The 12,022-nt window shown below is 36.0% G+C and overlaps 1 protein-coding gene across 7 annotated transcripts in view; it reads left to right on the top strand.

Moving 5' to 3' along the window:
• HNRNPLL (heterogeneous nuclear ribonucleoprotein L like) overlaps window positions 1-12,022 on the top strand; it is a 40,960-nt gene that overhangs the window by 12,047 nt on the left and 16,891 nt on the right. For all 7 annotated transcript variants that reach the window (NM_001142650.2, XM_005264640.4, XM_011533165.4 and 4 more), the window contains 4 exons: window positions 5,001-5,238; window positions 6,956-7,041; window positions 8,714-8,810; window positions 8,897-8,969. In NM_001142650.2, coding sequence (NP_001136122.1) covers window positions 5,001-5,238; window positions 6,956-7,041; window positions 8,714-8,810; window positions 8,897-8,969 — 494 coding nt within the window. The remainder of the gene's footprint in view (window positions 1-5,000; window positions 5,239-6,955; window positions 7,042-8,713; window positions 8,811-8,896; window positions 8,970-12,022) is intronic.

Raw genomic sequence — 12,022 nt, 5'->3', positions numbered from 1 at the left:
AGACGCATGTCACTATGCCCGGGTAATTTAAAAAAATTTTTTGTAGAGATGAGGGGTCTCTTAACATTGCCTCAGCTGCTGTCCTGGGCTCAAGCTATCCTCCCACCTCAGCCTCCAGAAGTGCTGGGATTATAGGCTCTGTGAGTTCTTAATGCAAATCATGAGCTATATTTTATCCTAGTTTGTCTTCCTTTTGTGCCTTGTATTCACGCAGGCTCCCCCTGTCTCTTCCCACAGCTGCTGTATACTTAAGAATATTAACTTAAGTGAAAACATAATTAGAAAAGTGAATCTGCTGCCAAAAATAGACACTTAAAAATTCTAAATTATTTTTGGAGTATGCCCGGCTGTTGTTCTTTTCTTAGTATAGATAATCTAGCGTTGATTTTATTATTTTTCCTTGATGAATATGTTTAGAGTTTTTGTTACAGCTATCGAAGACACAGATCAAGTTGAAGTATATAAATAGAAGAGAAATTTCAGTGTGTTTTCTGAGATACTTACCCTTACTGCTTCAATTTTATAAAAATTCATGTTAAGTATTTGAGTATTGAGAGGAAAATGCATAGATAATGAGGTAGTGATCAGAGATGTCCAGCAGAGGGTATCCAGCAGAAATGGGTTATTTCTTCAAAGGAATAGTAGTATTAGGTGATAACTTGCATTGTGGCATAATTTTATTTTCTTGGGTGACCTCATTGAGAGGTAAATGACTTGGCAAACACGTTAACCTTGGATGTACAAATTGAGAATCCGCATGGGCATAGTAAAGTTTGTATGTTGAAAGTGTATCACTAAGTTGATTATATCAATTCTCAGTCATTTGGAGTGGATATTGGAATTAAATCTGCGTGGAGAGTTACATATTAAGTAGACAGACTCCTTAGACCTTTAGTCTTGCTGTTGACAGTAGACTACCCCTGTCTCTATAAGGACCTTCTAATGATTATATAAGTGGCACATTGTCCTATGGAATTATAAAGAGGTGGGTGTCTGTGGTTTATTTTTCCTCTCTTCTTGTGTATTTAGGGCTTTAAAATTTATTTTCTTAGGCAGATGTCAGAAAACAAGTTGATGAGCAAATATAAATGGAAACTTTGGGAAGCAGTGACTATTTTGATGTTAATTAGTACCATGACATGAAGGTTAGGAATTAAAGAAATAGAACTATTTTAAGTTAGTAATTTGAATTACTCCTGGTGACCTTTGCATTTTTAGACTCTAAAATTTTGATTTGATACTTAGTCTCTGGTAAAGTCTACCGTATGTGAATGTCATTCAGTTAATTTGCGTCATTTTGCCCTCAAGATTGGTAGTTATGTGGATAGAAAATTCTGAAATAATTGGAACAAATTAGTGTGTAATTAAGAGCTTAATTGGCATAAATAGGTGTAATAGGAGTTTCAGTTGTATGAAATGAACTTGCATGAGAGGTGGCTGCTATTAAGGCTGAAAGAACCTTGAACAGCTTCCAATAGAAATTTTGCTTCAAAATGTTACAATTTGGAAACTTTCCCTTTATTTAATGGAATGTGTGGGATTATAAACAGTATAGAAACTGCTTATATTAAAATGGTGAATCACCAAGTTCAGTATGTAGTAAGCTTATATATAAAAACTAGATGCATAGGTAAGAAGCTCAGAAGAAAATATAACAAGATATTAAAAATGGTTGTGTTGTGTCAGGATAAAATTGCTTGTATTTTTTAACTTTTGTTATTTTTCTATACTGTATGCATTATAATCAAGAGTATAAGAGTATTTAAAATACATGTTGTATTTCTTTTTCCCCTTCTCTCCCATTAAAGGAGATATTAGGAAATGATTAGTTTTACAATACAACATTTGGGAGGACACAGTTTGTGCACTAAATCTGTTGTCTTCTCCTATGTTTTTATTTAGAAATTGGTAAAGATTTTTAAATTGATGGAGTTAAAAGCATTGATCCTACCATGTCCCTTAGCTTTTTTGTTTCTTTAGCCTTTTCTCTCTGTGATCTCCCACTGTTTCTCGTATTAATACCTTTTTTCTTTATTTTTTTGAACTCCTGGGCTCAAGCAATCTTCCCACTTTCAGCTTCCTGAGTAGCTGGGACTGTAGGCACAAGCCACCACACCTGGTTTCATATGAGTGCGTTTTAAAGATTTTCAAAAAACAATTTAAGCACATGCTAAAATGTCTGTAACATTTTAGTTTTTTTATATTGAATATTGGCAGTAAAAAGGAAAATAAAACATTTTAATTTTTTCTTTATCTTCATTGATGCTACTTTTCTGGGTAACCCTCACTTTTAAGTTGTGCTTTTAGCTCACCCTTTTTTTTTTTTTTTTTTTTTGAGATGGAGTTTCACTCTGTCACCCAAGCTGGTGCAGTGGCGCGATCTTGGCTCACTGCAACCTCTGCCCTCCAAGTTCAAGCGATTCTCCTGCCTCAGCCTCCCAAGTAGCTGGGATTACAGGCGCCTGCCACCGTGCCTGGCTAATTTTTTATATTTTTAGTAGAGACAGGGTTTCACCATCTTGGCCAGGCTGGCCTTGAACTCCTGACCTTGTGATCCACCCACCTCCGCCTCCCAAAGTGCTGGGATTACAGGCATGAGCCACCGTGCCTAGCCAGCTCACTTCTTATTTTAGTCACAGAAAGCAAATTTACTAAGTCTATAACAGGCCAATAAATAATTTACTTCTGTACCTGTATTAGTTTGTTGTTACATTGCTATATTGCTATAAAGACGTATTTGAGAGTGGGTAATTTATTAAGAAGAGAGGTTTAATCGGCTCACGGTTCTGCAGGCTATACAGTCTTCTGCTTCTGGGGTGGCCTCAGAAAACTTAGAATCATGGCAAAAGGTGAAGGGGAAGTACGCACATCTTTACATAGCCAGCAGGAGAGAGAGAGAAAAAAAAGAGAGGAGAGAGAGCGCGCACACAAAGGGGCAGGTGTCACACACTGTCAAACAACCAGATCTTGTGAGAACTCTGTCAGGAGACAGCGCTAGGGGGATAGTGCTAAGCCATTAGAAACCACCCCCATGAGCCAATCACCTCCTACTAGGCCCCACTTCCTACATCGGCGATCACAATTCAATACGAGGTTTGGATGGGGACACAGAGCCACACCATATCAGTACCTTTATAATTTTCTGTTTTCATATGGCATTATTAGCGTAATAACATAAACTCAGTAATACATTTAGATATTAAACCAACTTTTTTGTTTTGTGAAAGAAGATTTTTTCTTCTTGAATTTCTTTAGCATAGACCTGATACCAGCATTTTCTATTTTTCATGTGCAAGACTTTAGAACTTCAGTGAAGCGTCTGTGTTTCTAAAAGGAATGTCTCCTGGGATTTATATCTTGCACTTTTAAATTCAACGCCTTGTTTTTGTACTTCTTTAATTTTGAATGATATGGGTGGGGAAAACTAATAAGTCCCCTAGATTAACAAATATATGCTAGGCTCTGTTTCTAGCTTCTGAGGACAGAAAGATGAATGAGGCAAGATACGTTAAATAATAATAATACAGTAATAGTTACCTTTTATTGAGGGTGTACAATGTGCAAGGCAATCCGCTTAGAGTTTGTATGTAGTAACTCTAATCTTGACAATTCTCCAAGTTTTATAAATGAGGAAGCTGACATTTACTATAATAATAATTTGCCAGGCTGTAAGGTGATCTGTTTCTTTCTTATTAATACTGTACCATTTGTTAGTTTCCATAGTGTAGCAGTAGGTCCTGGATGCCTGATTGAGAAACAGTGATGTCATTGAGTACTGGACCCGACATTTCTTTGGCCTTCTGCTATTACGAAAACCACTTAATTGTATTTTAAAGCATTTTTAAGGTTCTTGTTCCTGTGAATAGAGGACATGCTTCCCCCATTGTGATCCAGGTGCTGTGATTTCTGTCTTCAACTCTTCCTTCCTTTCTTATTCTTCATTTCCTGTATTAAAATATATCTTTTTAATTCTTCATTTCCTGTATTAAAATATATCTCCTCCAAAAAGAACGTACTGTATTATATTTTGGGGTTTTTTTGGCTGCTTCGTTTGTCTTTCTAGTAAAGAATATACTTTGAAAAGTAAACATCTTACCCTCCTGCTCATAGACACTCCTGATTGCCGTATTCTAATGAATATTTTTTATGGATGGTTAGTATTAAAATGTTTTGGAGGAGATTATTTATATGAACTTTGGAACTTTGGTCAGTCTGTTGTTGCTTCCATTTATATTTATCTCTGTTTTAAAAGTATAGTCAGTTCTTAGCTGTTAGTATGGATGTTTATTCAAGAAAATTCGAGAGAGGTAGTTTGTGCTGTCAAGTAGGGATTCTGTCTGCCAACCTTCTGTTGAGTTTGATCTGCGTTGGTTTCTATGTCTTTGAAATTTTCTAATACTGCTTCGGAGTAGCACCCCAAAGAATAAACTGGGTTGTCTTGTTAGTAACTAATAACAGATAATTGTTTTTGAGGAGGTCATGAGGTAGATAAACTTATCACTGGGAGATAAGCTTTCATATGTGTACATCTACCTGTTGTACCACAATTCTTCAGATGATTTAAGAGTTGACTTACCTCATGCCTGTAATCCCAGCACTTTGGGAGGCCGAGGTGGGCGGATCACGAGGTCAGGAGATCGAGACCATCCTGGCTAACACGGGGAAACCCTGTCTCTACTGAAAGTATAAAAAATCAGCGGGGCCTGGTGGCGGGCACCTGTAGTCCCAGATACTAAGGAGGCTGAGGCAAGAGAATGGCGTGAACCCGGGAGGCGGAGCTTGCAGTGAGCCTAGATTGCGCCACTGCACTCCAGCCTGGGCGACAGAGAAAGACTCCGTCTCAAAAAAAAAAAAAAGTTGACTTACGTTGGACACAGGTAGTGAAGAATACTGTGGGATTTGACACATTTTTATTAAAGTCTGCTTTTACTTAATTGAGGACAAATAATGTTAACGGAACTTGCTGTGTTTGTGTGTTTCCTCCTTTTCTCCCTTTTCAGCTATGTGATGATGATGCCATTTAAACGACAGGCTCTAGTGGAATTTGAAAACATAGATAGTGCCAAAGAATGTGTGACATTTGCTGCAGATGAACCCGTGTACATTGCTGGTCAACAGGCTTTTTTCAACTATTCTACAAGCAAAAGGATCACTCGGCCAGGAAATACTGATGATCCATCAGGAGGCAACAAAGTTCTTCTGCTCTCAATTCAGAATCCGCTTTATCCAATTACAGTGGTATGTGTTTTAATATGACAAATGAAATTAAAAGTGATTTTGCAGTTTGCCTCCAGAGTGACTGATCTGTAGTTTTTTCATTGCCATCTAGATACTAGAAAATAGTTTTTTTAATTTTGAAAATTAATCTTAACAAGTTTAATGAACAAAGAAAAAATGCTGAGCACTGTAGTTAAAAAGATAAGCACAGTTGTCATAATTAAATAGGCACATTGAAATTTTTAATGTATAATCAGTACCAGTTCTGTTTTTGATAATAAGGAATTATAGACAGACTTGTTTGAAATCGTTCAAAAAATCTCTGTCACGCATATGCCAGCATATATATAAGAGCATCTACTAGGTAGTGACAGAATCCCATGTTATGGTAAGATGCACATATCATTATGAACTATTTTGCAATAGCTTGTTAAAAATCTGTCTTTGATTTACTTTAAATTCCCTGCTTCTTTACTCTTTTGAAAAGTGTTATTGGTAGAAGTTTTAAAAAGGATTTGTTTCCAGAACTAGTTTTCTTCCTACTCACATGCTGTTTCATAATAAGCTAGTAACACAGACACTTAATTTTTGTAATGAATAGAGGAACATCACAGTAAGGGAAACTTCAGTTGGTATCATATGTAGTCTGGGCATATGATATTGGGACATAAACTTAAAGCATAAGATATTCTTTAGATTTAATTAGACATTTTGTATTTTAAATATAGACTTATTAATATATAGTAATATATTTATAATATTCGGTGTTGGGAAAACATGTAACTAATCTAGTGTAGGTACTCTGTTTTTTGTTATATCTCTGGTGTGTAACAATGCAGCTGTGTAAATTATAGATGCTCAAGAAATTTCTTGATAGTTGAATAATTACTCCTAAGTAGGTATTTAGATTCTTAGATGACTCAGGCGTCTTGTTTAGTGACATGTAACTGTATGGTCTTCCTTGGGTCTTTTCTTTATGGCCATTGTCCCTTGAAAAATGAGTACCAGAGTTGTTCTAATATTATCTCTTAATACATATTTATTACTATAACACAAGTGATTATAATATTAAACATTTCAGTGTCACATTTGGAAAAAATATTCATTGATTATAGTTTTGGTTTATTAATTTTATATCATCAGAAGTTATTTTAGTCACCTGTTAAGAAAATAAAAATTGAGGATTCATTTAGGACATAAAATAGGTGACAGTGCTTTCCAAATGTTCCATTGGAACTTCTTTAATGTGGGTGTATTGTGTAGGTGAAGAAATACCTTAAGATTTATTAAAGTATAATAATTTTAGGCCAGCATGGTGGCTCATACCTATAATCTTAGTTCTTTAGGAGACTGAGGTAGTAGGATCCCTTGAGCTCAGGAGTTTGAGACAGCCTGGACAACATAGTGAGACTCTGTCTCTACAAAAAACGAAAAAATTAACCTTGTGTGGTGGTGCATGCCTTGAAGTCTCAGCTACTCGGGAGGCTGAGGCGGGAGATCGTTTCAGCCTGGGAAGTCAGGGCTGTAGGGAACTGTGATCGTGCCACTGCACTCTAGCCTAGGCAACAGTGTGAGACCCTGTCTCAAGAAAAAAGTAATAATTTTAAGAATTAATTTTATTAATCAATAGAAATGACATCTTGACAGTTGATAGTTTTTAGGTAAAACAAAACGAAGTATAGCTTTAATGTTTTTTCAGATGTAAAGTGTGAAGAAATCTTTTTCTTTTCCTTCATAGGATGTTTTATATACTGTATGCAACCCTGTTGGCAAAGTGCAACGTATTGTTATATTCAAGAGAAATGGGATACAAGCAATGGTTGAATATCCTTTATTTGTAAATTTTTATTGATGTGTAATTCATACGGATCTTATTTTTTCTGGCTTAAGCATTTCTAGACAAGTGGTGTTTACTTTGTCCTCTCACAAAAATCTACGTGACTTAGCTTTAAAAAATGAAACTGCAGTACTCATAGGGAATTTTACTATTTATGATAAGAATAACTTGCTACCAGAAAGCAATCTAGTGCTTCCTTTTTAAGCTGTTAAATAACACTATTTGAAGATATGTACACTTGTACTATTTTGGAATTTATCCTAAGTGAACTTTTCTGACTCCCTCTTAAAGTAGTTTGGAAGTACCAAAACTTTAGAGTCAGTAAAATCTTACCTTTTTTTATTGAACCTTTAAAATGGTAATGGTTTATGTAAAAACTTCTTTATGTTAAATTTGTCACACATTGAGTAAGAAGAGCAAGTTACAAAATAGTATAGATAATACACTTTCCCCCAAGCTGGACCCATCTTAAATAATAATAATAAAGAGAAAACCCCAACCTACGTGTGCATGTGTATGCATAGAAGAAGGTAGGGATATACAGCAAACGCTTTAATAGTGCTTACTTCTGGCAAGGGACTTATGTTTTATCTTTGTTTTTTTACCTTATATACCTTTGTGATTTTATTTTTTTAAGATTATGGACTTAAGTAATTTTTTTAAAAACTGATAAAATTTTAGATAGAGTATTATAAAACTATGCCTTCTCAGAAATATGTAAAAATCATGTATTTGTTTTGTATTACTTTGGCTCTTTGTAATGTTCTTCTTAAAGAGTAAAATCTTTTCTGTTTCAAGGTTGCAAGTTGTCCTTTGCTAGGGAATGGGACCATGCTCCATTATCTCCTCTGCTTTCCGATTTATAAAGTACTAATGATGACCTAAAAGAATTAAGGTAGATAGTTCGGTTGTATTATGTTTTCTTTGGTACCCTTGATTTTTTTTTTTTTTTTAAGATGGAGTTTTGCTTTTTGTTGCCCAGGGTGGTCAAGTGATTCCCGTGTCTCAGCCTCCCAAGTAGCTGGGATGACAGGCACCTGCCACCACACCCAGCTAATTTTTGTATTTTTAGTAGAGATGGGGCTTCACCATGTTGGCCAGGCTGGTCTCGAACTCCTGAGCTCAGGCTGTTCACCTGGTTCAGCCTCCCAAAGTGCTGGGATTACAGGCGTGAGCAACTGTGCCCAGCCACCCTTGATCTTAAAAATAAATTCTCCTGGCCAGGCGCAGTGACTCACGTCTGTGATCCCAGCACTTTGGGAGGCCGAGGCGGGCGGATCACGAAGTCAAGAGATCGAGACAATCCTGGTCAACATGGTGAAACCCCGTATCTACTAAAAAAATTAAAAATTAGCCGGGTGCGGTGGCACACACCTGTAGTCCCAGCTACTTGGGAGGCTGAGGCAGGAGAATTGCTTGAACCCGGGAGGTGGAGGTTGCATTGAGCCCAGGTCGCGCCACTGCACTCCTGGTGATAGAGCAAGACTCCGTCTCAAAAACAAAACAAAACAAAAAATTCTCTTAAAATTCATCCTGAAATTGGTAAAACATTTCCAGAAGTAAAAGAGCTACTTCTGATTATTTTCAATCCTGTCCTTTGGGAGTGAATAATGATTAAGTATCAGATACCTTAAACCGAATTTCCTTAATAGAGCTTATGTTTGAATCAGTCCTTTGTGCCCAGAAAGCTAAAGCAGCACTCAATGGAGCTGATATATATGCTGGATGTTGCACACTAAAAATTGAATATGCACGGGTAAATATTTTTTTCAACACCCTACCCAAGAAATATTTATGCTTTGGATATGCAGTTTGAACTTACATTATTTTCAATCTTAACAGCCAACTCGTCTAAATGTTATTAGGAATGACAATGACAGTTGGGACTACACTAAACCATATTTGGGAAGACGAGGTAGGTATTTTATACATTTTAGAATGTACTTGATCTGCTGACAAATTTTTATATGCAGTTAGATTCTTTTTTCCTGAGATGAGCTAGTTAATTCAAATGAAAACCTTGTTGATGAATGCTTTTGTTGCAAAAGGCCATGTAATGCTGGAAAATAACCTTGAACATTAGTGCCCCCTACTGGTATGTACTGAGCTATTTATATTTAGTTCAACAAGGAGCCCACACATTCAGGCACGCCCGCAGTTCAAGGACTTGCATTTCTCCAAGCAGCTCTCTCTCTTTGGAGGAGAGGAAACTGATTCAGAATATTCCTTACAAACTGCAAACTTGCACACTGCTTCTCTATGGAAAGGACTTTCCCCCAAGCTGGACGAGGCATTAAGAAGGATAGAGGACTCCAGCAGGCTGACTCTACACTTCATCATGCACAACATCGGCATCAGCAAAAAGCCCTCTGAAAAACTCAGACTCGCAATTCACCTTGACTGCATACTGCATGCACCATCACCCCAAGTTTTTAAAGGAGGACACTTAACAGTACTTCAGAATTGCATGGGATGAACACCATGATAGACTGTGCCCATTTATACAAGTTGTATGTATATATTGGTCTGATTTCCCTTAAGGTTTCAGTTGTAGAATTTAAGACTTTCCACTAACGGAAACTAGACTTCATCTGCAATGTTGTAAATCTTAATGCCCATTACTGTGACTGTGTGCAGCTTAGATTCAAATTGTTAATTGGCAAATAACCAGGACCAGTTTATTAACAGGTCTTGGGAATTGATAATGCTCAACCAATCCACACAGATAGAAAAATAAAAGGATTAGAAAGGTGCACACTTGCTGCATTGTTTACTTTTTAAATTTTTTGTTTTTTTCTCAATTGTGGTCACTGAACAGAAATTCTAACATAATGAAAAGGTGCATTATATGTGAAAGACGTTCTTCTGTGTGGTTTGATTTTTGTAAAGTGGCTGTTTATAAGTTGTCACTTTTTGTAACAATTTAAGGTTATCACTGTCAATTTGTGTAACTAGAAATTTTGACATTTCAAATGTAGGTGAAAGTAACATGTCTGTTCAAGATAGAATATCTTTAAACTTGATAAATCTGAAAATAAGAGCATTTCATTTGGGATGCATCTTCACCTATAAGTGCTAGATTTCGTGAGGATAAATTTGACTGATAAAATTGTTCAACTAACTGTGTGGCAATTCTGGAATATACAAATTAAAATGTGGATCTTGTAAAAACAAGGGGGCTGCAGTATTGGCTACATCTTAACTACAATATCAGTGTTTGAACTACAGGGTGGAAAAGCTCAAGATGAGTATGTCTGTAAAAGTCAGTAACTAGAAAAAAATTTTATGGCATACAAAATACCTTGGGGAGTGGGTACTCTATAGTGCATGTACTCTAGCAAAAAGAAAAAGACAATGTGATGATTGATCTTTTGCATGTTTGCATATTTAGGACTTTTAGATGATTGGCTCCTTTAACTCTCAATTCCCAGGAAATCATCTTGCCTTATGCATGAAATTGCAAATAGGTTTGTTTTGTAATGCAGCTTTGGCTAGACCCCATGTTTTTCACTACTTATGGAAATCTGCCTGGCCTTGGGTTGGTACAGTTGATGTCAGTATTAGAAAGCACATCCTTAGCACTGAAACAACCGGACAAGTGGTTGATGAGAAATGTCTCACTTCTGTCAATTTACAGTTATTGACCACTCGGTTTTGTTTTTTTAAAAAAATCTCATTTGAAATAGTTGTGGTTACATTTTTCTCAGGGGCTCTTTAAACAGGTGTAGATAAGCTTATTTTAATAGTGTTTACATCTATTCTTTTAAAGGGTCTGATGTTTACACAAAGCCAGCTGAGGTTAGTTCTTCATATAATTCTAGTCAGATAAGTTTAGAAATGTATAAGGTATATATGTGAATAGTGAAATATAATTAAAGCACGTAAAACGTTTTTAGTTTATGCTTTGAAGGAAAATTTTTTGTTTTCTAATTCCTTACAGATATTTGTCTTGCGAGACCATAACAGTTTATGTTTTTGTTTCTGTAGAGCTCTTAGCTTGCACTCAAATTGATAGCTATTGAAACTGTTAGGTTGCTATCCCCAAATAAAGACCTTCATAACATTTTTTTTTTTAACCAAAAAAAATAAAAACTTTTTTAAAAACATACCCTCACTTTTTTCAAAGCCCTTTTCAGCTTGAATTACATTTTAGTGTAAAGAATCCCTAACCAGGACGCCAGGGAACCCCTCCAGAAATCTTAGAACCTGTAGTAGATAGGTGCATCTTTTTGGGGAGAATGTTCACAGCTTCCATCAGATCATTTGACTCTAGGAAAGCTTACCACTGTTTAGAAACTGATATATTTAGGGTTCAACTTTCTGCTCACTTCTGTTTTACGTGACCTGTTACGCAGTGAATACTTCAAATGAAGTGAATTATTATTAATTTTTTAATTATTTTATTTTATTTTATTATTATTATACTTTAAGTTTTAGGGTACATGTGCACAATGTGCAGGTTAGTTACATATGTATACATGTGCCATGCTGGTGTGCTGCACCCATTAACTCGTCATTTAGAAGTGAATTATTAATGAGAATGTTTGGCTGAAAGATAGCTTGGAAGATAATCTACTCTAACTCCTTCATTTATGAATGAAAATTGTTTCTGTGACTATACAGCAAATTAGTGGTTTAAGTTGGAATCGTCTGATTCCCAACCCAGTTCTCTTTCCTTTATAGCACACTGTTAACTGTATCAATAAAACTGAGTCATGAAGACATTATGGTTGTTGTGGTTTTAAGATTCCTAGGTCAGATAAGGATTTGTATTTAGTGTTTGATGGCGTATGCTTAAGCAGAGGAACATTAACAGAATGGATTAGTAGGCTAGATTGGCTCAAAAGGAGTGAGACTTGCGTGATGAGAGACGTTAGAAGCCATGTGGTAGAAGGAACTGTGAATGTTAGGATTGAAGAAGAAATGACTTTGGGGAAATGGGGTCGGGGGGACAGTCATAATAACTTC

This window comes from Homo sapiens, chromosome 2, assembly GCF_000001405.40.
Source record: "Homo sapiens chromosome 2, GRCh38.p14 Primary Assembly".
In the NCBI taxonomy this organism is placed as follows: domain Eukaryota; kingdom Metazoa; phylum Chordata; class Mammalia; order Primates; family Hominidae; genus Homo; species Homo sapiens.
The sequence above is the reverse complement of the archived record's forward strand: the minus strand, read 5'-3'. Positions and strand labels throughout refer to the sequence as shown.